Below are 24,977 nucleotides of genomic sequence, written 5' to 3'. Positions count from 1 at the left end.
AGGGGCTGGAGTATGGACTCCTGGGTCTGAGGGAGGAGGGGCTGCAGTATGGACTCCTGGGTCTGAGGGAGGAGGGGCTGGGGCCTGGACTCCTGGGTCTGAGGGAGAAGGGGCTGCAGTATGGATTCCTGGGTCTGAGGAAGGAGGGGCTGCAGTATGGACTCCTGGGTCTGAGGGAGGAGGGGCTGCAGTATGGACTCCTGGGTCTGAGGGAGGAGGGGCTGGAGTATGGACTCCTGGGTCTGAGGAAGGAGGGGCTGCAGTATGGACTCCTGGGTCTGAGGGAGGAGGGGCTGGAGTATGGACTCCTGGGTCTGAGGGAGGAGGGGCTGGAGTATGGACTCCTGGGTCTGAGGGAGGAGGGGCTGCAGTATGGACTCCTGGGTCTGAGGGAGGAGGGGCTGGAGTATGGACTCCTGAGTCTGAGGGAGGAGGGGCTGGGGCCTGGACTCCTGTTGTTCAGGTGGGGACCAGGCCTGGGGACGGCCCTTTCCCAGTGCCTGCTGCCCTCTGCTGCCCCCTGCTGGCCACTGCACTCTTCCTTTGCACCCTGGAGGACAGACCAGGCTTGGCAGTTTATTTCGGTTTCACAACCCCCTTCCAGCCCTTGGGGCTCCCTTGAGCAGCACATCTGGGTGCCCTGTAGGCGGAGAGAGGGGTGGGTTAGATGAGGTCACCTCCAGGTGGAGGAGGGTGGAGTGGGGTGGAGTGGGCCAGGGAGGGTTAGGGAATGGACTCACCTGGCCTTCAGGCCGGGGCAGGGTCCTGGGGTCCCAGCGCAGCTGGAGGGGAGTTCCCCTTTAGGAGTCTCTGCAATGGAGATATTTTGAGAGGGCGGTTGATTCCCGGCATCCAATCTTTCCCTCTGCCCCTCTTCCCTGTCCCCTTTGTCTTAGACCTGGGAGTCCCAGACCACCTGGGGGCTGGAGGTGGCTTCCTGCGCGGCTGAGGCCACAGCCTTAATTCTTGGCAAGAGAAGAGGGGCCCGAAGTCTGGGGAGGGCCAAAAGTGCCTGGGGGGAGGAGATGAAGAAATGTCTCTGCTAGGCTGCAGCCTGGGTGGACGTCCTTTCACAGGCCCTGGACAGGGGTGACACAGTGGTGGCGGCCACCATCTGACAGGACCTTTGGCCTTGTCCCTAGTCCATGCTGCCTTTTCCCTCTCACCTCTAACTCGTGTAGGATGAAGTTTCAGTTTGTCTGTCCGCCTGTCCATCCATGTGTCCACCCTTCTGCTCACTTGTGTGCCCCACAGACAGTTCCCAAGCCTCTCCAGTGGGTCAGGCCCTTTCTTTCTTTTATTCTCTTTTCCTTTTCTCTTTCTTTTTTCTTCTTTTTCTTTCTTTTCTTTTCTTTCTTTCTTCTTTCTCTCTCGCTCTCTCCTTCCTTCCTTCTTTCTTTTTTCTCTTTCCCTCCCTCCCTTTCTTTCTTTTTCTATTTCTCTCTCTTTCCTTTCTCTCTCCCTCCTTCTTTCTCTCCCTTTCTTTCTCTCTCTCTTTCTTTACTTTTCTTTCTTTTTTAAAAACAACAACAACAACAACAACAAACCGAAAAAACAGGGGCCACGCGCGGTGGCTCACACCCGTAATCCCAGCACTTTGGGAGGCCGAGGTGGGTGGATCACCTGAGGTCAGGAGTTTGAGACCAGCCTGGCCAATATGGTGAAACCCTGTCTCTATGAAAAATACGAAATTAGCCAGGGGTGGTGGCACATTCCTGTAATTCCAGCTACTTGGGAGGCTGAGGCAGGAGAATCGTTTGAACCCAGGAGGTGGGGATTGCCATAAGCCAAGATTGCACCACTGCACTCCAGCCTGGGCAACAAGAGCGAAACTGTCTCAAAACAAAACAAAGCAAAACAGGGTCTCGCTCTGTTGCCTCGTCTGGAGTGCAGTGATGGGACCATAGCTCACTGCAGCCTTGACCTCCTGGGCTTAAACCATCCTCCTGCCTCAGCCTCCCAAAGTGCTGGGATTACAGGCATGAGCCACCGCGCCAGGCCAAGGCCCTGTTTTTCGCTCTGAGAAGACAGCTGTGAACAAGACAGAAAACTATCTTTGTCCTGGTGGAGCTGATGCTCCACTGAACCCGAGGCTCGCAGTGACTGATCAGCTCCTGAACAAGGAAATGTCCCAGAGCAAGTTCCATGTCCTTCAAAGTGCCTGGGAGAGGGAAGATGCCGGGGAGGCCTCTTGGAGATGGGAATGACCCAGCTGATGCCTGAGTGCAAGAAGGATCCAGACAGAGGCTCCGAGTGAGTGGAGGCTTGCTGGCAAGTTAGAAGAGCAGCAAGGGTCCAATGTTGCCGGAAAGGAGGTGGAGTAGGGGAGATCAGAGAGGTGGGGAAGAGTCAGATCCCCAGCCCCAGGTCTTTGGGCGGCGGAGAGGACTTTGGCTTGAGTTCTTAGAGCCCTGGGGAGCCAGTGGGGATTTCTTTCTTTCTTTCTTTCTTTTTGAGACGGAGTTTTTGCACCGTCGCCCAGGCTAGAGTGCAGTGGCACAATCTTGGCTCACTGCAACTTCCACCTCCTGGCGGAAGCGATAATCAAGCGAGAATCAAGCGATTCTCCTACCTCAGCCTCCCGAGTAGCTGGGATTACGGGTGCCCGCCACCACGCCTAGCTAATTTTTGTATTTTTTAGTAGAGACGGGGTTTCACCATGTTGGCCGGGCTGGTCTCGAACTCCTGACCTCAAGCAAAGGATTTGCCCACCTCGGCCTCCCAAAGTGCTGAGATTACACGTGTGAGCCACCGCGCTTGGCTGCCAGTGGAGATTTCTGAGAGGTGAGGGAGGGGATATGACTCAGGTTAGAGATGACTGAGCTTGCTGGCTTCATCAAAACTCATGGGGAGGCTAGACGAAGTGGCTAATGCCAGCAATCCCAGCACTTTGGGAGACTTGAGCCCAGGAGTTAGAGACCAACTTCGGCAACACGGTGAGACTCTGTCTCTAATTAAATTAAAACATTAAAACAAACAAACAAACAAACAAAAAAACCCAGCCTGTGGGGCTTGTGTCAGGCTGGTCCCCATTTTCCCCATGAAAACACTGAGGGTCAGAGAGGTCCTCAGTGGTCAGTGGGGTGATGAGATCCAGCTCAATGGCAGTGTCGTCCCCTAAAGGGAGGTTTCTCAGATGGAGAACAGCAGCGTGCAGACAGCAACCCCAGGGGCCACAGCACCATACACAGATCACAACCACGGTGACACTGACCACTGACACAGTCCCATCACATCCAGTGTCCACAGCAGCCCCAGCCTCACTGCTCAAAAAATTTAAAAATGATTCGGGTGTGGAGACAGGCACCTGTAGTCCCAGCTACTCTGGGGGCTAAGGAGGGAGGATCACTTGAGCCCAGAAGATTGAGGCTATAGTGAGCTGTGATTGTACCACTGCACTCCAGCCTGGCTGACAGAGACCCTATTTTTTTTTTTTGAGATGGAGTCTTGCTCTGTCGCCCAGGCTGGAGTGCAATGGCGCTATCTTGGCTCACTGCAACCTCTGCCTCCTGGGTTCAAGCGATTCTCCTGCCTCAGCCTCCTGAGTAGCTGGGATTACAGGTGCACGCCACCACACTCCGCTAGACAGAGACCCCATCTTAAAAAAAAAAAAAAAGCAATGCCAGGCACATAGCAAAAGTTATGACAGGCGGGGCCCACTCCTGTAGTCCCAGCACTTAAGAAGGCCGAGGCAGGCAGATGACCGGAGGTAAGGAGTTCAAGACCAGCCTGGCCAACATGATGAAACCCTGTCTCTACTAAAAATACAAAAATTAGCCAGGCATGGTGGTGAGCACCTGTGACCCCATCTACTCGGGAGGCTGAGGCAGGAGAATCGCTTGAACCTGGCAGGCGGAGGTTGCAATGGGCTGAGATCGTGCCACTGCACTCCAGCCTGGGTGACAAAGTGAGACTCCATCTCAAACAACAACAACAACAACAAAAGTTATGACAGTGCCTTGCTGAGAAGTAACAAACCCAAGGCTGTCTCTTCTGTGGTATGTTTTGAAGAATGAAAGACTAGGTGGGAGTGGACTGGAATTTTAATCAGGCAGGGTTTGGGGAGAGGAGGAAAGGGTGGGGGAGGCGGAGGGTATGGCCTAGGCAAAGGTGTCACCATCAGGCCCGAGGTCCCTGTCAGCCTGCTGTCCTGGCTGTGTCCCCCATCACTGTCCTCTGGGAGCCGGCTGAGTGCCTCCTAATGTTTCCATTTGCTTTTGGCGGCAGGTTGGATCTGTTTTTAGCTTCCCTGGCTGGTTTCACCGCCACCCTCCCCCCCACCGCCCCGCTTCCTGCTGGCTCTCTTGTTTGCTGTGGTCGAATAATGTTCCCGGACTTCCTGAGCTGTTTGTTTGAAGACAGCTCAGTATTGATCGAAGCCTGTGTGTACTCAGCCGGAGATACTAAGAGATCTGCTTCTCCCCAGCAATCCAGGGTCCCAAAAATCCTGGGGTGGCAGCGTAGGGAGAAAAGAAAGCCAGGACAGGGCTTATTAAAAAATAAGTAGGCCGGGCGCGGTGGCTCACCCCTGTAATCCCAGCACTTTGGGAGGCCGAGGCAGGCGGATCACCTGAGGTTGGGAGTTCGAGACCAGCCTGACCAACATGGAGAAACCCCATCTCTACTAAAAAATACAAAATTTGCCAGGCGTGGTGGCACCTGCCTGTAATCCCAGCTACTCAGGAGGCTGAGGCAGGAGAATTAGCTTGAACCCCAGAGGCGGAGGTTGCAGTGAGCTGAGATCATAATATTTCACTCCAGCCTGGGCAACAAGAGTGAAACTCCATCTCAAAAGAAAAACAAACAAACAAAGAAACAACAAAAAAATAAGTAGATGGTTTGGGGGCCTTAAAGACTCCAACGCTGACTTCTCCTCTTTCAGGCTGTGTGGTTTTGGGCAGGTACTGTCACCTCTCTGAACTTTTTTCCTCTGGAAAATGGGGAGAGGAACATTCATTTGTTTGTTTGTTTTTTGAGACAGGGTCTCACCCTCTGTCATCCAGGCTGGAGTGCAGTGGCGCGATCTTGGCTCACTGCAACCTCCACCTCCCGGGTTCAAGCGATTCTCCTGCCACAGTCTTCCAAGTAGCTGGGATTACAGGTGTGCGCCACCACGCCCAGCTAATTTTTGCATTTTTAGTAGAGACAGGGTTTCACCATGTTGGTTAGGCTGGTCTCGAACTCCTGAACTCAGTGATCCACCTGCCTCACCTTCCCAAAATGTTGGGATTACAGGCATAAGCCACCGCGCCCAGCCGGGAGAGGAACACTTTTGACTTCATAGGGCTGTTGGGAAGACTCACTTCAGTGTATTCATTTGGCATCTATTTATTGAGCACCTATGACGTGTATGTGTGCTAGGCACTGTTCTGCACTCTGGAGATATGACGGAGAAGACAACAAAGGCCTGACCTGCAGGAAGGTTGCAACCTGACAGTGATAAAAGCCGACAAAACCAACCCTAAGCTCTGCCGGGTGGCGAAAGATCTTTGAACATACAGCAGAGCAGGGCCCCGAGGGACAGCGGTGCTATTTTCATCTTTTCTTTTTTTTTTTAGAGAACGGGGTTCCGCTATATTGCCCAGAAAGGTCTCAAAATCCTGGGCTCAAGCTTTCCTCCTGCCTCTGCCTCCCTAACAGCTGGGATTACAGACTCTTTTTTTTTATTGGTTTAGAGACAGGGTCTCATTCTGTTGCCCAGGCTGGAGTGCAGTGGTGTGATCACGCCTCACTGGAGCTACCAACTCCTGGGATCAAGGGACCCTCCCACCTCAGCCTCCTGAGCAGCTGGGACTACGGGTGTGCGCCACCACTTTGGGCTAATTTTAAAATTTTTTTGTAGTGTTGGGGTCTTGTGATGTTGCCCAGGCTGGTCTCAAATGCCTGGGCTCAAGCCGTCCTCCTGCCTTGGCCTCCCAAAGTGTTGGGATTGCAGGCCGGGCATGGTGGCTCATGCCTGTAATCCCAGCACTTTGGGAGGCCAAGGCGGTGGATCAGCTGAGGGCAGGGGTTTGAGACCAGCCTGGCCAATGTGGCAAAACCTCGTCTCTACTAAAAATCCAAAAATTAGTCGGGCATGGTGGTGGGTGCCTGTAGTCCCAGCTACTTAGGAGGCTGAAGCAGGAGCATTGCTTGAATCTGGGAGGCAGAGGTTGCTGTGAGCCGAGATTATGCCACTGCACTGCAGCCTGGGCTACAGAGTGAGACTCCTCTCAAAAAAAAAAAAAAAAAGTACTGGGATTGCAGGCATGAGCCACCACCCCAGCTAGGGGTGCTATCTTGAACAGAGTGGTCAGGGAAGGCCTCCCTGAAAAGGGATGGGAAAGCAAGCCTCAGGAAAGACTGTGCAGGCCAAGGGAACAGCTTATGCAAAGGCCCCGAGGTAGGACACATCTGGGATGCTGGAAGGAGAGCTAGAAAGTCCTTGAGGCCAGGCGCAGTGGCTCACTCCTGTAATCCCCGCACTGTGGGAGGCTGAGGGGGGCAGATAATGAAGTCAGGAGTTCTAGACCAGCCTGATCAACATGGTGAAATTCTGTCTGTACTAAAAATACAAAAATTAGCGGGGCATGGTGGTGGGTGCCTGTAATCCCAGCTACTCAGGAGGCTGAGGCAGGAGAATTTCTTGAACCCGGGAGGTGGAGGTTGCAGTGAGCCAAGATTGCGCCACTGCACTCCAGCCTGAGCGACAGAACAAGATTCCGTCTCAAAAAAAAAAAAAAAAAAAAAAAAAGAAAGTCCCAGAGGGGGAATGAAAACAAGGGAAGAGGTCACAGAGGGGATGGGTGCCTTGGAAATGGGTGCCAAGGATGAGTCCCTGCCCTGGCACCCCTGAGTGCACAGGTGAACCAGGGACCCTGGAGGTGAGTGAGACCCCAGCCCCCAACCTCAGACCAGCGCCTGACTCACCACTTTCGGCTGGGCATTTCTGGGCTTCCTGGGGGGCAGATCTGGCCGTGGGGGCAATGGAGGAGCCGAAAGGGGCACCTGGGGTGGGACAGAGGAAGGAGAAGGGGCTTGTGAGCTGCCATTTTCTTCTCGCCTCCATGTTCTCCTGCCTGGGACTCAGCATTCAGGCACTGTTCTAGACTCAAGATATAACAGAGACCAAGACAACGTATGAACACTTAGGAGGGTTACAGCCAGGGAAAGCCACAGCCCCAGCCCTTGGGGAAGCAAAAGACCAGTTCCCTAGGACCTGAGAATCTTGTTATCAGCCCCCTCCTCTCCTAGAACCCAGGAGTGTGGGCCCTCAGCTCTTCCTCCCTCAGACCCAGGAGTCCGGGCCCCCATATTCTCCTCCCTCAGACCCAGGAGTCCAGGTCCCCATACCCACCTCCATCAGACCCAGGAGTCCAGGCCCCTAGCCCCTCCTCCCTCAGACCCAGGAGTCCAGGACCCCCAGCCCTCCTCCCTTAGACTCAGAGTACAGGCTCCAACCCCTCTTCCCTCAGACCCAGGAGTCCAGGCCCCCAGTCTCTCCTCCCTCAGACCCAGGAGTCCAGGCTCCAGTCCCTCCCCACTCAGGCCTCAGGAATTTGGATTCCAGCTCCCGGCTGGCCCTGCTCACCTGCCCCAGCTCCAACTCCCTGCCTTCCTGGTCACTGCTGTTCCCTGAGTCCTCAGCAGTAGCCTGACCGTGGAACTGGTAGATACTCACGGCCTCCCAGCCCTTGATCTCGCAGCGGCAGAAGGGGCAGGTCTGGCTGTCCGAGTGCTGGGGGAGGTCGGGAGGGAAAGGGTCAGTGCTCCCCTGCTCTCCATCCTGTCCCTTGGGCCAACGAGGAGCTCCCCGCCCAAAAGATTGATGTGGGGAAGACAGACAGAGGAAGGGAGACGGAAGGAGAGAAGAGTCGTGGAGAGCAGAGGAATGTGGAGGGAAATGCTGGGAGGGAAGGTGAGAGAGGAACGGAACCAGAGCCGAGGTCAGGAGGGGGCACACAGGCCAGGGATCCCCATGGAGCTGTGGCCACAGCTTCCGGGCCAGGCCTTTCCAGGCTCAGACCCTCAGGTGGCCCTTGCTGTTGTTGTTTTTTAAAAAAACGGAGTCTCGCTCTGTCACCCAAGCTGGAGTGCAGCGGCACGATCTCTGCTCACTGCAACCTCTGCCTCCCAGGTTCAAGTGATTCTCATGCCTCAGCCTCCCGAGCAGCTGGGATTACAGGCCCCTACCACCACACCCGTCTAATTTTTGTATTTTTTTTTTAGTAGACACGGGTTTTCACCATGTTGGCCAGGCTGGTCTCGAACTCCTGACCTCAAGTGATCCACCCACCCCGGCCTCCCAAAGTGCTGAGATTACAGGCGTGAGCCACCGTGCCCAGCCTCACTGTGGCCTTTGGGAGGTCACTATTCTCAGCCCCGTTCTCCAGGGGACGAGGCTAAGGCTCAGAGACGTGAAGCCACTGGCTGGGGATCACCTAGGCAGAGAAGGAAGGAGAGCTTTCCACTGATAACATTGCCGGAGAGGGAGAAACAGAGGCAGCGTGTGCAGAGTGGGATGGAACCAGAGGCCCTGGGAAAGACAGCCGGGCTCCTGAGTGGTTGCCATCAGCTCTTTGCCCTCTCTGGCCTTCGGTTTCCCCATATGATCAATGAGGCATGGAGATCCTTTTGGGGCTTTCCCTGTAGAGAGGGGGAGACCAGAGGGGAAGGCGCCACAGGGGTCAGACCCACCTGCCAGGCAGCCAGGCAGCAGCTGCAGAGCAGGTGCCCGCACGGCTCAATCTTCACATCCTTGTTGCTCTCAGCACAGATCTTGCAGAGCTCAAATGTGGAGTCCATGGCCCAGTAGAGCTGCAGCTGCTCCTGGCAGGTGAGAGGATAGAGAAGACAGCGAGGGGCATGCGTCAGCCACGGGGACACAACTTGGGCCACAGGAAGAAAATCCCAAACCTCGGCTGGTTGTGGTGGCTCACGCCTGTAATCCCAGCACTTTGGAGGCTGAGGCAGGGGGATCATCTGAGGTCAGGAGTTCGAGACCAGCCTGGTCAACATGTTGAAACCCCGTCTCTACTAAAAATACAAAAATTAGCTGGGCATGGTGGTGCATGCCTGTAGTCCCAGCTACTCAGGAGGCTGAGGCAGGAGAATCGCTTGAACCCGGGAGATGGAGGTTACAGTGAGCTGAGATTGCACCATTGCACTCCAGCCTGGGTAACAAGAGCAAAACTCCGTCTCAAAAAAAAAAAAAAGAAAGAAAGAAAATCCCACACCTCCTCTATCTTGGCGCTGTGGCTCATGCCTGTAATCCCAGCACTTCTGGCGGCCAAGGCAGGTGGAATGCTTGAGCCCAGGAGTTCTGGACCAGCGTGGGCAGCATAGTAAGACCCCGTCTCTATTTAAAAAAAAAATAATAAACCAAACCTCTGTGCCAGAACTGAACCCTCTCCTAAGTCCAAGGCTGGCATGTCCAATGGCCTCCTACATGTCTACACTCATTTTTTTTTTTTTTTTTTGGAGACGCAGTCTTGCTCTGTTGCCCAGGCTGGAGTGCAGTGGCGCGATCTTGGCTCACTGCAACCTTTGCCTCCAGGTTCAAGCGATTCTTGTGCCTCAGCCTCCTGAGTAGCTGGGACTACAGGCATAAGCCACCATACCTGGCTAATTTTTGTATGTTTAGTAGAGATGGGGTTTCACCATGTTGGCCATGCTAGTCTCGAACTCCTGACCTCAAGTAATCTGCCCGCCTTGGCCTCCCAAAGTGCTGGAATTACAGGCGTGAGCCACCTCGCCCGGCCATGTCTTCACTCCTTGTTATGAGACTTCTTCTCCCCAGTTGTCTACACCCAGTGGTGCCAGATTTAGCAAATAAAAGTATTGGATGCTGATGCTGCTAAATTTGAATTTCATTATTTTTCTTTCTTTCTTTTTTTTTTTTTTTGCGGGACAGAGCCCCACTCCGTTACCCAGGTTGAAGTGCAGGGTCGCAATCTTGGCCTACTGCAACCGCCAACTCCCAGGCTCAAGTGATCCACCCGCCTCAGCCTCCCAAAGTACTAGGATTACAGGCATGAACCACTGTGCCTAACCTAAATTTGAATTTCTTTCTTTCTTTTTTTTTTTCTTTCTTGAGACCAAGTCTCACTCTGTTGCCCAGGCTGGAGTGCAATGGTGTGATCTCAGCTCACTGCAACCTCCGCCTCCTGGGTTCAAGTGATTCTCGTGCCTCAGCCTCCCAACTCAAGTGCCTCAGCTGGGACTACAGGTGTGAGCCACCACACCCAGCTAATTTTTGTATTTTTGGTAGAGATGGGTTTCACTATGTTGGCCAGGCTGGTCTTGAACTCCTGACCTCAGGTGATCTGCCGGCCTCGGCCTACCAAAGTGCTGGGATTATGGGTGCGGTGGCACCCGGCCTCCAAATTTGAATTTCATGTAAACCGTGAATACAATTTGAAGTATAAGGATGTCCCAAATATTGCACGGGATATATTTATACTAAAAAAAATTTAGGGCCAGATACAGTGGCTCATGGCTATAATCCCAGCACTTTGGGAGGTGGAGGCGGGAGGATTGCTGGAACCTAGGAGTTCAAAACCAGCTTGGGCAACATGGCGAAACCCCATCTCTACAGAGAAATACAAAAATTAGCTGGGTGCAGTGGCTCACACCTGTACTCCTGGCTGCTCGGGAGGCTGAGGTGGGAGGCCTGCTTGAGCCCAGAGGTCGAGGCTGCAGTGAGCCATGATCGCACCACTGCACTCCAGCCTGGGCGACAGAAGAGATTCTGTCTCTAAAAATAAAAATAAATAAAAAATAAATTATTTATTTGTTATTGTTGTTTTTCTCACTCGTAGGGTGGCTGTGAAGATTAGGAGCTGGCACGGGGCTATTGCTGGCAAATGCTCGAATGCATTAGCTGTCCTGATGATCTCAGCAGCATCAGTTCCTTATTTAATCCCCGTGATCACCCCTGGGAAAGAGGCAGGAGGAGCCGTATTTTCCGGAAGAATAACTGAGCCTCAGAGAGGTCAAGTGATTTACCCAAGGTCACAGAGCCACCAAGCCAACATTCCAACCCCAGGCCTCTGAGCCAAGGCAACGTGGGGGTGGCAGGGTCAGGGAACTGGGACTGCGGGTGCAGGTGCGGGTCTCACCTCTGACACGTGGATGCGCTGCTGGGGTTCTGCCTGGCCGAGCTCAGTCAGGTCTGGGTTGTGGGTCTTTCCATCTGGGTAGAGGTAGCTGGGGGAAGGGAAGAGAGGGGGACTGGGGGGCCATCCAGTATTTCCCACCCCCAGATGAACAAGTACCTTTACCCCCTACAGGGCCCCATATTTCCCTGAGTTGAGGATCTGTCCCAAATCCATTGCTGGCCTGGGCTTATTTTCCCTCCACCCACCTCTAATTGGGACTGTGTCTTCTCAGATACCCCAGGGCAGGGCTATGTCCCCTCAGACTCCCAAGGTAGGGCACACAAAACCTCAGTGACTCAAGCTCCAGAAACAAGGATGAGATAGACTAAGAACCAGAAAACGATATGAAAATTTCTGGCTTAGGGCAGGTGTGGTGGCTTACGCCTGTAATCCCAGCACTTTGGGAGGCCGAGGTGGGTGGATCATCTGAGGTCAGGAGTTCAAGACCAGCTTGGCTAACATGGTGGAACCCCGTCTCTACTGAAAATATAAAAATTAGCTGGGCGTGGTGGTGCATGCTACTCAGGAGGCTGAGTCAGGAGAATTGCTTGAATCCAGGAGGCAGAGGTTGCAGTGAGCCAAGATCATGCCATTGCACTGCAGCCTGGGCAACAGAGTGAGACTCTGTCTCAAAAAAAAAAAAGGGAAAATCTCTGGCTTAGCTCTTCTAGAACCTCACCCTTCTCCACGCCCAAGCATAACAGATTTTAGTGTCACAGATCATGAAAGTGATCAAATCCTAGAATCTGATAATATCAGGATGGAAAGATCCTCTGAGAGCACCTGTACCACTTCTTCCCTCACAGACAGTGACCCAAGGCTCAGGGTGGGAAAGGCATTTGCCCAAGGTCACACAGCAAGGACCAGAGAGACCGAGAACCAGGGTTGTAGGCGAGATCTCAGCACTGGGCTCCAGGACACCGGAGAAGCAAGCTCTGGGCTCCCTGGGTCTCCCCCTGGATCATTTCCTCGGCCTATCTGGCATGCCTCAATGCTACTCCAGTTATTCCGACATGTATAGCACATGAAATATTGGACCCTCAGACTCCCTGAGGCTAGTGGCCCTGCCTGGCCTGTCATGTGGAGCAGTGCAGGATCCCTGACCTGGGCCCCACAGTGGCTCTCTCACTAACACACTGTGTGACCTGGCTGGGGCCACTCGACCTTTCTGGCCTCAGTTTCCCCTTCTGTAACATGGACATGATCATGCCTGAGGCAAAGATTTGTGATGGATTAAATAAGACAGTGCTGGCCGGGTACAGTGGCTCACACCTGTAATCCCAGAACTTTGGGAGGCCAAGGCAGGCAGATCATTTGAGGCCAGGAGTTTGAGACCAGCCTGGCCAACATGGTGAAACCCCGTTTCTACTAAAAATAGCAAAATAAATAAATAAATACAATAATAATTAGCCAGGCATGGAGGTGCGTGTCTGTAATCACAGCTACTTGGGAGGCTGAGGCAGGAGAATTTCATGAACCCAGGAGGCAGAGATTGTAGTGAATGGATATCGCACCACTGCACTCGAGCCTGGGCAACACAGCAAGACTCTGTCTCAAAAAAAAAAAAAAAAAAGAAATTTTAAAAATAAATAAATAAGAAAGACAGTGCTTATAAAACATGCAGCCCTGGCTGGGAGCAGTGGCTCATGCCTGAATCCCAGCACTCTGAGAGGCTGAGGCGGGAGGATTGCTTGAGCCCAGGGGTTCGAGACCAGCCTGGGCAACACAGAAAGACACTATGTCTAAAAAAAAAAAAATTAAAAAAATTAGCTGGGCATGGTGGCATGTGCGTGTGGTCTCAGCTACTCAGGAGAGGCTGAAGCGAGAGAATCCCCTGAGCCTGGGAGGTCGAGGCTGCAGCAGTGAGCCGTGTTCATGTCACTGCACTCCAGCCTGGGTGACAGTGAGACCCTGTCACAGAAAAAAAAAGAACCACCAAAAGAAACATGAAGCGCTGGCCAGGTGCAGTGGTTTACACCTGTAACCCCAGCACTTTGGGAGGCCGAAGAGGGAGGGTCGCTTGAGCCCAGCAGTTTGAGGCCAGCCTGGACAACATAGTGATACCTTGTCGGTAACTAATTTTTTTTTTCTTTTTTTCTCTTTATTGAGATGGGGGCTCACTATGTTGTCCAGGTTGGTCTCAAACTCTTGGGCTCAAGTGATCCTCCCACAAAGTTCTAGGATTTCAGGCATGAGCCACCATGCTTGGCGAATAAATTTTTTTTTTTTTTTTTTGAGATGAAGTCTCACTCTTGTGCCCTAGGCTGGAGGGCAATGGCGTGATCTCGGCTCACTGCAACCTCTGCCTCTCGGGTTCAAGCAATTCTCTTGCCTCACCCTCCCAAGTAGCTGGAATTACAGGCGCCTGCCACCATGCCTGGTTAATTTTTGTATTTTTAGTAGAGACGGGGTTTCACCATGTCGGCCAGGCTGGTCTTGAACTCCTGACTTCAGGTGATCTGCCCGCCTCGGCCTCCCAAAGTGCTGGGATTACACGTGTGAGCCACCGTGTAATCCCAGCACTTTGCTGGGTGCCCGGTGCAAATAAATTTTTTAAATTAGAAAAAAATTTTAAATGCAGCGTCCTCCTCTGTGCATAAACACCCAATAAGAAGGGACTTCTACGATTGACTTTATTTTATTTTTATTTTTATTTTTTGAGACAGAGTCTGGTTCTGTCACCCAGGCTGAAGTACAGTGGCGCGATCTCGGCTCACTGCAAGCTCCACCTCCCGAGTTCACGCCATTCTCCTGCCTCAGCCTCCTGAGTAGCTGGGACTACAGACGCCCGCCACTGCGCCCAGCTAATTTTTTGTTATTTTCAGTAGAGACAGGGTTTCACCGTGTTAGCCAAGATGGTCTCGATCTCCTGGCCTGGTGATCCACCCACCTCAGCCTCTTAAAGTGCTGGGATTACAGGCGTGAGCCACTGCGCCCAGCTTATGATTGACTTTATTTTTATGTTTTTGAGATGGAATCTCACTCTGTCACCCAAGCTGGAATGCAGAGGCGTGATCTTGGCTCACTGCAGCCTCAACCTCCCGGGTTCAAGCAATTCTCGTCTCAGCCTCCTGAGTAGCTGGGATTATAGGCATACACCACCATGCCTGGCTAGATACCAGGTTTCACCATGTTGGCCAGGCTGGTCTCGAACTCCTGATCTCAAGTGATCTGCCTGCCTCAGTCTCCCAAAGTGCTGGGATTACAGGCATGAGCCACCATGCCCGGCCTCTGATTTTTCTGTTTTAAATGGTCCCCAAGAGTAGCTGAAGTGTTGTCTCCTGTTCCTAAGTGAAAGAAGGCTGTGATGTGTCTTATGGAGAAAACGTGTGTGTTGTATAAGCTTTGCTGAGACACAAGTTATACTGCTGTTGGTTGTGAGTTCAATGTTAGCGAACCAACAATAGGTACTGAATAAAGTGTCAATTTTTTTTTCTTTTTTTCTTTTTTTTTTTTCTGAGACGGAGTCTTGCTCTGTCGCTCAGGCTGGAGTGCAGTGGCACGATCTCGGCTCACTGCAACCTCCGCCTCCAGGGTTCACGCCATTCTCCTGCCTCAGCCTCCTGAGTAGCTGGGACTACAGGTGCCCGCCACCACGCCCGGCTAATTTTTTTTGTGTGTTTTTAGTAGAGACGGGGTTTCACAGTGTTAGGCAGGATGGTCTCGATCTCCTGACCTCGTGTTCTGCGCGACTCGGTGTTCCAAAGTGCTGGGATTACAGGTGTGAGCCACTGCGCCCGGCCTTGAATAAAGTGTCTTTAAACGAAAACATACATAAAGGTTACTATGTTGTGACTGGTTGACAAAAATGTGGTGACCCAGCCGGGCGTGGTGGCGTGCACCTGTAGTCCTAGCTACTCAGGACCCAAGAATGTATTTCCCCTGGGAGCAACGGCTTGATATTCAATAATTCAGGGTGTGTGGTGATTTTATAGAAGATAATTACTATAAATTGGCCAGGCGTGTGGTTCACACCTGTAATCTGAGCACTGTGGGAGGGTGAGGCGGGCAGATTGCTTGAGTTCAGGAGTTCGAGACCAGCCTAGGCAACATGGTGAGCCACACCCCACCCCCATCTCTACCAAATATACAATAAAATTTTTTTGTTTTGTTTTTTTCAGATGGAGTCTCGCTCTGTCACCCAGGCTGGAGTGCAGTGGCGTGATATCAGCTCACCGAAACCTCCACCTGCCAGGTTCAAGCAATTCTGCCTCTGCCTCTGGAGTAGTTGGGATTACAGGTGCACGCCACTGCACCCAGCTAATTTTTTTTAATTTTTAGTAGAGATGGGGTTTCACCATGTTGACCAGGCTGTTCTTGAACTCCTGATCTCAGGTGATCCGCCTGCCTTGGCCTCCCAAAGTGCTGGGATTACAGGCGTGAACCACCGTGCCCCACCAAAAATGTTAAAAAAATTATATATTAAAAAATTAATAATAATTATTGCAAATAATCAACAGCATATCTACCTATCTGCCTATCTATCTATCTATCTATCTATCTATCTATCTATCTATCTACCTATCTGACTATCTAGCTAGCTACCTACCTTCCTATCTCCTCTCTTGTATGTCAGTAGTCATATAGATATGACTGATAAGAAAATTCTGGCTAAAGGTGAAACTCTGAAAAGAAACCTGTCTTCCTGGCCGGGCACAGTGGCTCACACCTGTAATCCCAGCACTTTGGGAGTTCGAGAAGGGAAGATCACTGGAGGTCAGGAGTTTGAGACCAGCCTGGCATGGCAAAACCCCATCTCTATTAAAAATCCAAAACTTAGGACCGGGCATGGTGGCTCATGCCTGTAATCAGCATTTTGGGAGGCCGAGGTGGGTGGATCATGAGGTCAGGAGTTCGAGACCAGCCTGACCAACATGGTGAAACCCTGTCTCTACTAAAAACACACACAAAAAATTAGCCGGGTGTGGTGGTGGGTGCCTGTAATCCCACCTACTCAGGCGGCTGAGGCAGGAGAATCGCTTGAATCTGGGAGGCAGAGGTTGCAGTGAGCCGAGATCATGCCATTGCACTCCAGTCAGGGCGACAGAGCAAGACTCTGTCTCAAAAAAAAAAAAAAAAAAAAAAAAAAAAAAAAAAAAAAACACCTGTCTAGCAAGTTCTCCAGTTCTGTTTCTGCCCCATCAATCTAGATTCTAGAGCAGGATCTCATATCTAGAAACAAAAGCTGGCTGGGCACGGTGGCTCACGCCTGTCATTTCAACACTTTGGGAGGCCGAGGCAGGAAGATCGCTTGAGCCCAGGAGCTCCAGACCAGCCTGGGCAGCATGGCGAAACCCCATCTCATTTTTTAAAAATTAACTAAAGTAAAAGAGGAAGAAAATAGAAGCAAACGCTCTTGAGCTCAGTTCCAAGGAATGGAGCCCTTGCGGTTGTGCCCAATGCCCCACACACTTCTCCTCGGAGCTGTGGCTGGGCCCGATCTATGGCCACTTTGTGCGACCCTCAGAGGCGCCCCTTCCTCAAGACCTTTGACTGCCACCTGCTGGAATTTTGTAGTACTGCAGATTTGAGATGTCCCCTATGTGAATGGTTGCACCCTCAAACGTGGTGGCCACCGGCAGTGCACAACATGCAAGATCTTTCCAACCAGATTTTGCTGACACCCTCCTCCTACCAGAATGGAGACTCACAAGCCGTCCTTCTGTCCCTCCAGGAGCACCTGGGACAGGGGTTTGTTGGCAGGGATGGTCTGCAGGATGCTGCCATCTGAGCTCACATAGCCGATGGCCCACTGCCCCAGGCGAGTACAGCTGGGCCGGAAGATGTAACTGGAGGGAGAGGTAGGTAGGATGGGGTGAGGGAGTGGTCACTGCCATCCCTTTTGTGAACTTCCAGTCCCCTGGCCTGTTGGGAATCCAGGTGTCTAGGTCCTCACCCCCAGCTTCCCATCCTCTAGGCAACGGCATGTGCTAGACCCCTGCCTGCCTCTCTAGGGGATATATGCTGTTTTTGCCTGCTTGGCTCTTTTATGATAAAAACAGCCCTGATTCCATTTGGAGATCTCTCCTCGCTTCACTGGAGTTTAAACAAGGCTGGGGTGGCCAATCAGTGCATTTCAGGACCCCTGACCACAGTGATGGGAGTCCGTTCTGGGACTTTCGCTGCAAGTGTCAGAGCAAGGTGCCCCCTTTCTTACAGAGGTTGCTAAGAAGGTAGGGTACACAGCTGGGACTTCTAGAAGTCATTTGCCACAATGAGGAGAAACCATGTTTGAGAATGAAGCAAACAGAGGAAAGCAGAGAAAGGGGATGAACAGGAACTGATTCCTGACAGTAGCCATTGAGCACCTGGATCTAGCTGTGCCTGAAACCCACACCCTAGGCTTCTTTTCTTTTCTTCCTTTTTGTTTTTGAGACAGAGTCTTGCTCTGTTGCCCAGGCTGGAGTGCAGTGGCGGGATCCTGGCTCACTGCAACCTCCACCTTTCGAGTTCAAGTGATTCTTGTGCCTCAACCTCCCAAGTAGCTGGGACTATAGGCACGCATCACCATGCCAGGCTAATTTTTGTATTTTTTTTTTTTTTGAGATGGAGTTTCACTCTTGTTGCCCAGGCAGGAGTGCAATGGCGTGATCTTGGCTCACTGCAACCTCCACTTCCTGGGTTCAAGTGATTCTCCTGTCTCAGCCTCCCAAGTAGCTGGGATTACAGGTGCACGCCACCACGCTTGGCTAAATTTTTGGTATTTTTAGTAGAGATGGGGTTTCACTATGTTGGCCAGGCTGGTCTTGAACTCCTGACCTCAGGTGATCCACCCACCTCGGCCTCCCAAAATGCTGGAATTACAGGCGTGAGCCACTGCGCCAGGCCTAATTTTTGTATTTTTAGTAGAGATGAGGTTTCACCATGTTGGCCAGGCTGGTCTCGAACTCCTGACCTCAAGTGATTTGCCCGCCTCGGCCTCCCAAAGTACTGGGATTACAGGTGTGAGCCACTGTGCGGGGCCTGGCCTTTTCAATTATAGGAATTTATTCTTTCCTTTTTCTTTTCCCTTAAATAAGTTTGAAGTGTAACTGGAAGAATGCTAACGCACTCACCGTCCTACCCCTGCACCTCAGCCCTGCAGAGACTCACAAACCTGACCTTCTCTTCTCTTGGTATCTAGACAGCTCAATTCTCAGCCCTCTAGGGGGACCCAACAGCTCAAAACTCCTGGTTGAAATAATTTAAGGACTCTCATGTCTTGTTTTTCAGTCTCCTATGCCAACAGGTGGGAAATTCATACTCAAAATACTGAACAGATGGTACAACATGACTCTGACCTACCAGAAACGGACCTTACCCTCAAGCGGGTCTTTGGGCTCCTTGCTAGAGCGGGCACTGTCCCTTAGCTGCAGGATTATGGGACAGTACAGGAGGCCTCGAGAGAAGAGGCGGGCTGGGAGGGGCACTCAGTGTCCTGCCTCTGAGTTATCAACTCTCTGGGGTCCTGGGTACCTCTGTTCCCACTCTTGGAAGGACATCTGGGCTCCACCACGCACCAGCCCAGAGCCCAGATCCCTGAGCCCTGCAGCCTTGTTCTGCTGAGCCCTGGACCCTTTACCTGCCTGGCTTGTCCCTGCAGGCCTGCAGACGCTCTTGGACCTCATCATAGGTGAGGAAGGCCATGTAGCCTGGGTGGTTGACTGCCAGGAGCTGCCAGTTCTTGAGGAGTGTTGGCCATGGCTGGGGTGGGGCAGGGCTTGGGTCAGGGAGCGACCAGGGAAGCAGCTCACATCCCTAAGTAGTCCCTAGGGCTCGAGGATCCAACCACCTCCTTCACACCCATGGTGGGCCTCAGGCATATCCCTTTTACAAGACCCCAAGCTCTTCTTTCTCCAGAACTCAGGAGTTTGGGACCCTAGCTTCCTCCTCCCTCAGACCCAAGAGTCCAGGCCCCCAGCCCTCCCCTCCCTCAAACCCTGGAGTCCAGGCCCTCACCCCCTCCTCCCTCAGACCCTGGAGTCCAGGTCTCCAGCCCCTCCTCCCTCAGACCCAGGAGTCCAGGTCTCCAGCCCCTCCTCCCTCAGACCCTGGAGTCCAGGTCTCCAGCCCCTCCTCCCTCAGACCCAGGAGTCCAGGCCCCAGCCCCTCCTCCCTCAGACCCAGGAGTCCAGGCCCCAGGCCCTCCTCCCTCAGACCCAGGAATCCAGGCCCCAGGCCCTCCTCCCTCAGACCCAAGAGTCCAGGCCCCCCGCCCTCTCCTCCCTCAAACCCTGGAGTCCGGGCCCTCACCCCCTCCTCCCTCAGACCCTGGAGTCCAGGTCTCCAGCCCCCTCCTCCCTCAGACCCAGGAGTCCAGGCCCCAGGCCCTCCTCCCTCAGACCCAGGAGTCCAGGCCCCAGGCCCTCCTCCCTCAGACCCAGGAGTCCAGGCCCCAGGCCTTCCTCCCTCAGACCCAGGAGTCCAGGTCCCCGGCCCCTCCTCCCTCAGACCCAGGAGTCCAGGTCCCCAGCCCCCTCCTCCCTCAGACCCAGGAGTCCAGGCCCCCAGCCCCTCCTCCCTCAGACCCAGGAGTCCAGGTCCCAGCCCCCTCCTCCCTCAGACCCAGGAGTCCAGGCCCCGGCCCCTCCTCCCTCAGATCCAGGAGTCCAGGTCCCGGCCCTTCCTCCCTCAGACCCAGGAATCCAGGATTCAGCCCTCTACTTCCTCCTGGACCCAAGTCTAGCTCCCAGCCTTGGCCTTCCCTGACCTGAAAGAGCCTGGTGAAGACGTCGAACTCGAAGATGGACACGTGCCCGCTGCAGGTGAGGTCAATGGTGGTGCGCAAGGCCAGGGCTGTGCAGCCTGGTTCCACAGGGTGGCAGGTGCCCAGGAGGGACTCAAACTCAGCCCAGGGCAGCACACACCTGGGTGGGAGAGGGGTGGGGGAGACACCGCTGAGGCCTCCCAGAGCCTATGATGGGAGGGTCTCCAGGAAAGAAGCAGCTGTGGGCCTGGACCCCTGGGTCCCTGGGCCAGGGCAGGATGGGGCTCCGGGAGCTGAGGACAAGGGCTTACTCACCGGGCTCCGCAACTTTCCCTCCAGAAGGTGTGGGCGGGGGCCTTGGTGAGCTGGTACATGTGTCCACAGTACTTTCCCCCGGGGAAGAGTGCGTGCAGCTCTGCGTGCATGTGGCTGAAGATGATGGCCAGCTTGGCCAGCTGTCGCCTGTGGGGATGGGCAAGGACTCTGGCTATCCTTGGGGCTCCCACTGACACCCTCTTCCTCCCCTCATGGGGAACACCTGCAGGGATAAGGCTCTGGACTCTATCTCAACAGTGTAAGGTAAGAGTCCATTCCTGCTGGGCGTGGTGGCTCACGCCTGTAATCCCAGCACTTTGGGAGGCTGAGGTGGGTGGATCACTTGAAGTCAGGAGTTTGGGACCAACCTGGCCAACATGGTGAAACCCTGTCTGTACTGAAAATACAAAAATTAGCCTGGCGTGGTGGCGCCCGCCTATAATCCCAGCTACTCAGGAGGCTGAGGCAGGAGAATCGCTGGAGCCCGGGAGGCAGAGGTAGCAGTGAGCTGAGATCACGCCACTGCACTCCAGCCTGGATGACAGAATAAGACTCCATCTCAAAAAAAAAAAAAAAAAAAAATTAAAAACGATATACATGGCTTTTATTAGATTTTGGCCAGAAGCAGTGGCTCATGCCTGTAATCCCAGCACTCTGGGAGGCTGAGGTGGGTGGATCACTTGAGGTCAGGAGTTTGAGAACAGCCTGGCCAACATGGTGAAACCCTGTCTCTAATAAAAACTATAAAAATTATCGCTGCGTGGTGGCGGGTGCCTGTAATCCCAGCTACTTGGGAGGCTGAGGCAGGAGAATTGCTTGAACATGGGAGGCAGAGGCTGCAGTGAGTCAAAATTGCGCCACTGCACTCCAGCCTGGGCAACAGAGTGAGACCATGTCTAAAAAAAAAAAAAAATTACGCTGAATTTTGCAGAAATCCAGCTCTCCTATATATTAAGGGAAGACTATTTGATTCTGTATGACAGTGGTTCTACCTACAGGTACGAGTGTCTGACTAGTCAGCTCTGCCTTCCAAGAATAATTGTGCCTTGGCATTTTCATTTAAAACATAGATAATATTTATGAAAAAAATTCCTTTGATCACTCTCTTATAATTTGGGCATTATAGTGATTAAAAAACTATAGGTGGGTAGGTTGTTGAACCTCTGCATGTCCTCTCAGGATGAATTAAGGAAACACTTGGCTGGACATGGTGGCTCTCACCTATAATCTCAGCACTTTGGGAGGCTGAGGTACGAAGATCGCATGAGGCCAGGAGTTTGAGACCGGCCTAGCCAACATAGCAAGACCTCCTCTCTACCAAAAAATAAAAAGATTAGTCTGGCATGGTGGTGCACGCCTGTGGTCCCAGCTACATGGGAGGCTGAGGTGGGAGGATCACTTGAGCCCAGGAGTTGGAGGCTGCAGTGAGTCATGATGGTGCCACTGCCCTCCAGTCTGGGCGACAGGGCCAGACCTTGTGTCCAAAAAAAAAAAAAAAGAGACACTACAAAATATTTAATATAAAGAAGTGGCATGGGTCCCTGAACTAGACCTTGTTCTGGGCTCTGGGCCCCAAACCTCATCTGCCTGGTCACTCTGAGATTCCTTCCTCAGTGCAGAACAGCAGAGGGGTGGCCTCCAGGCAGGTCCTGGGTCTGGAGCCAGCTGTTCCTCAGGAACTAAAGACCAAGTGGGTAGTCCAGGCAGAAACCGTGATGGGGGCCTAATGATCAGTTTCTTTGGGTGTGTCCATCTACCTCTCCTCCACCTAGGAGCCCATGGGGTCTCCACATTCTGAGGCCTGATCCTCCCAGCTGGGCCTCCCAAAGAGCTGGGATTACAGGTGTGAGCCACCGTACCCAGCCAGACCAGGCCAAGTTCTGATCACAAATGTGCACACATCTAGAAAACTTTGAATCAGAGAATAATAGTAATAGCTAACTTTTATTTTATCCTCAGTGTAGGAAACCCCATGGGGTCCCTGAATTCTGAGATAGTGGGATAGTGGGAACCAGAATTGGGCTGCTGGGTGACCAAGGAAATGGCAAAATCGGGCTGAGGGCATGGGTGCCCAAGGAAGGAGAAAACTGGGTGGCCCATTTTCCAGGTTCCCTTAGGAAGGAGGGGCTGGGGCCTGGACCCCTGGGTCTGAGGGAGGAGGGGCTGGGGCCTGGATCCCTGGGTCTGAGGGAGGAGGGGATGGGGGCCTGAGTTTCTGGGTCTGAGGGAGGAGGGGCTGGGGCCTGGACCCCTGGGTCTGAGGGAGGAGGGGCTGGGGGCCTGGACCCCTGAGTCTGAGGGAGGAGGGGATGGGGGCCTGAGTTCCTGGGTCTGAGGGAGGAGGGGCTGGGGCCTGGACCCCTGGGTCTGAGGGAGGAGGGGCTGGGGGCTGGAGCCCTGAGTCTGAGGGAGGAGGGGGTGGGGGCCTGAGTTCCTGGGTCTGAGGGAGGAGGGGCTGGGGCCTGGACCCCTGGGTCTGAGGGAGGAGGGGCTGGGGGCTGGAGCCCTGAGTCTGAGGGAGGAGGGGGTGGGGGCCTGAGTTCCTGGGTCTGAGGGAGGAGGGGCTGGGGCCTGGACCCCTGGGTCTGAGGGAGGAGGGGCTGGGGGCTGGAGCCCTGAGTCTGAGGGAGGAGGTGGTGGGGGCCTGAGTTCCTGGGTCTGAGGGAGGAGGGGGTGGGGGCCTAAGTTCCTGGGTCTGGGGGAGGAGGGGCTGGGAGCAAGACCTGGGCCTCACCCCAGAGGACTTTGTTCTGGGGCGAAGGCTCACCTGAGTCTGGAGCCCGCCCGGAAGAGCTCGTCGTTGGCACTCCTTCGGCCCCGGGGAGGCAGCAGCGCGGCCACCTGCCTGCTCTTGGCCTCCAGATTGGCCAGGTAGATGAGTAGAAAGTCCCCAGAGCCGCCGGGACCCCCGGGGCCGCCTCCGCCGGCCGCCCGCCGAGAATGGGCCACCTCTCGAAGCAGCTGCGCTGTGCGGGGCAGCAGGTCCCGCAGCGAAGGGGGACTCACGGACAGCCGGGGGTCGACGCATTGCTCTTCTAGGCGCTGCAGCATCCTGACTGCCCGGCCCAGGGCGCGGGCCTCTTCCCACTGTCGCCCCCACGGGGCCACCGCCAGAGCCATGGGAGCCTCGCGTGTGCCGGGAAGGACCGGTGCGGCTGGGATAGGGGCGGCCTCGCCCAGAGTGAAAGGAGAGGGCGGGTCCTAGAGAACCGGGGAGGGGCCTGCAGGTACCAGTGTCTCCAAAGGGGGCGGGGGCTGGAGGACCTGGCACGTGGGTCTTCAAGAGGTGGGATTTGGAGGCCGGGAGCGGTGGCTCATGCTTGTAATCCCAGCACTTTGGGTGGCCGAGGTGGAAGGATCACCTGAGCCCAGGAGTTCAAAACCAGCCTGGGCAACATAGTGAGGCCCTATCTCTAAAAAATTTTTAAAAATAAAATAAAATGTGGCTGGGCGCGATGACTCACAACTGTAATCCCAGCACTTTAGGAGGCCGAGGCAGGCGGATCACCTGAGGTCAGGAGTTCGAGACCAGCCTGGCCAACATGGTGAAACCGTGTCTCTACTAAAAATACAAAAAAGAAAAAAAAATTAGCTGGTGCGGTTTGAGTTTGATTCTCAAAAAGGAGCAGGGTGGGGTGGCTTTGGTGGGTAGCGGTAGGAGGGGGCTTCTCAGTGTGTGGGTGGGAAGTGCAGGTAGGATATCTGGGTCCCTTCAGAGAGGGGCAAGGGGCTAGGGGAGGCCTGGGACTTTTTTTTTTTGAGACAGGGTCTTGCTTTTTCACCCAGGCTGGAGTGCAGTGGTGAGATCTTAGCTCACTGCAACCTCTGTCTCCCAGGCTCAAGTGATCCTCCCACCTCACCCTCCTGAGTAGCTGGGGTCACAGGCGCGCATCAGCAGTCCTGGCTATTTTATTTTATTTTATTTTTTGTATTTTTAGTAGAGACGGGGTCTCACCATGTTGCCCAGGCTGGTCTTGAACTTCTGAGCTCAAGCGATGCATCCGCCTCGGCCTCCTAAAGTGCTGGGATTACAGGCGTGAGCCATTTTGCCCTGCCACGGGACTCTTCTTGGAGAGGGGAGGGGAAGGGCTGGGAGCTACCGAGAGGTGGGACTTGGACACAGCGCCTTGTCGAAGGTATGGGTCTTTGGTCGTGGCATGGGATTAAAGGTCAGATAACTGAGATTTCAAGGAGGAACCGGTCAGGGAGGCATTGCTCTCTCTCTGTCTCCGAGGAAGGAGGCACAGAGCCACCAGGCCCTTGGGTTCCCTAGAAGCAAGGGTTTGAAAGTGGGTGTCTGAGGGGGCAGGAATTTGGCAACAAGATTTCTGGGTGCCCCTAATGGTGTGGCATGGGAGAAATCAGGCCAGAGTTAAGATACTCCTGAGTCCCGAAGAAGCCAGGCGGGAGGATGGCGTTCAAGACTGTGGGGGCGGGGAGCAACTCATTTGTGTAGGGGTGGCCGGGCGTGGCTTTCACCCAACCTGTAGAACCTGTAACATCAGCCTGGTTGCTCAGTTGCTCGCTGGGCAGCCATCGGGGCGCTGTGGGCCTCGCCCCTAAGCAAGGCATTCTGGCCGCGCCCCATCCTAGGCCAAGCCAAGTTCTTTTTTTTTTTTTTTTTTTCCTGTGATACAGGGTCTTGCTTGGTCTTGCTCTGTTGCTTAGGCTGGAGTGCAGTGGCCTGATCATAGCTCACTGCAGCCTGGATCTCCTGGGCTCAATCAATCCTGCCTGCTCGGCCTCCTAAAGAGGTGGGATTACAGGCGTGAGCCACCATGCCTGGTCAGACCAGGCCAAGTTCTGATCGCAAATGTGCACATATCTAGAGAACTTTG

At 53.8% G+C, this 24,977-nt stretch overlaps 1 protein-coding gene across 8 annotated transcripts, besides 4 other annotated features; it reads right to left on the bottom strand.

Moving 5' to 3' along the window:
• On the bottom strand, positions 539-23,322 carry CBLC (Cbl proto-oncogene C). 8 transcript variants are annotated; one of them, NM_012116.4, is made up of 11 exons: positions 22,907-23,301; positions 20,140-20,286; positions 19,828-19,984; positions 18,700-18,821; positions 16,790-16,927; positions 11,100-11,187; positions 8,677-8,808; positions 7,571-7,717; positions 6,910-6,987; positions 741-810; positions 539-640 (listed from the first exon to the last, which is right to left on the bottom strand). In NM_012116.4, the coding sequence occupies exons 1-10, from the start codon at positions 23,257-23,259 to the stop codon at positions 748-750; spliced, it is 1,425 nt and encodes a 474-aa protein (NP_036248.3). In that variant the 5' UTR covers positions 23,260-23,301; the 3' UTR covers positions 539-640; positions 741-747. The 8 variants fall into 8 exon arrangements, with proteins under 8 accessions (NP_036248.3, NP_001124324.1, XP_011524991.1 ...); NM_001130852.1 differs by lacking the exon at positions 16,790-16,927 and having other exon boundaries at positions 545-640; positions 22,907-23,322; XM_011526688.3 differs by lacking the exons at positions 539-640; positions 741-810 and adding an exon at positions 830-1,012 and having other exon boundaries at positions 22,907-23,322.
• Positions 704-753: an enhancer, noted in NCBI's record as "active region_14773". NCBI's record gives its function as "activates an Ori minimal core promoter by ATAC-STARR-seq in GM12878 lymphoblastoid cells {active_cell/tissue: GM12878}" and the evidence as "EXISTENCE:reporter gene assay evidence [ECO:0000049][PMID:35858748]".
• Positions 2,692-2,892: a silencer, noted in NCBI's record as "peak3507 fragment used in MPRA reporter construct". NCBI's record gives its function as "represses an SCP1 promoter by STARR-seq MPRAs in K562 erythroleukemia cells {active_cell/tissue: K562}" and the evidence as "EXISTENCE:reporter gene assay evidence [ECO:0000049][PMID:32103011]".
• Positions 16,400-16,449: an enhancer, noted in NCBI's record as "active region_14772". NCBI's record gives its function as "activates an Ori minimal core promoter by ATAC-STARR-seq in GM12878 lymphoblastoid cells {active_cell/tissue: GM12878}" and the evidence as "EXISTENCE:reporter gene assay evidence [ECO:0000049][PMID:35858748]".
• Positions 16,460-16,529: an enhancer, noted in NCBI's record as "active region_14771". NCBI's record gives its function as "activates an Ori minimal core promoter by ATAC-STARR-seq in GM12878 lymphoblastoid cells {active_cell/tissue: GM12878}" and the evidence as "EXISTENCE:reporter gene assay evidence [ECO:0000049][PMID:35858748]".

This window comes from Homo sapiens, chromosome 19 (assembly GCF_000001405.40).
Source record: "Homo sapiens chromosome 19, GRCh38.p14 Primary Assembly".
Classification (NCBI taxonomy): domain Eukaryota; kingdom Metazoa; phylum Chordata; class Mammalia; order Primates; family Hominidae; genus Homo; species Homo sapiens.
This window is presented reverse-complemented; position numbering and strand designations above follow the sequence as displayed.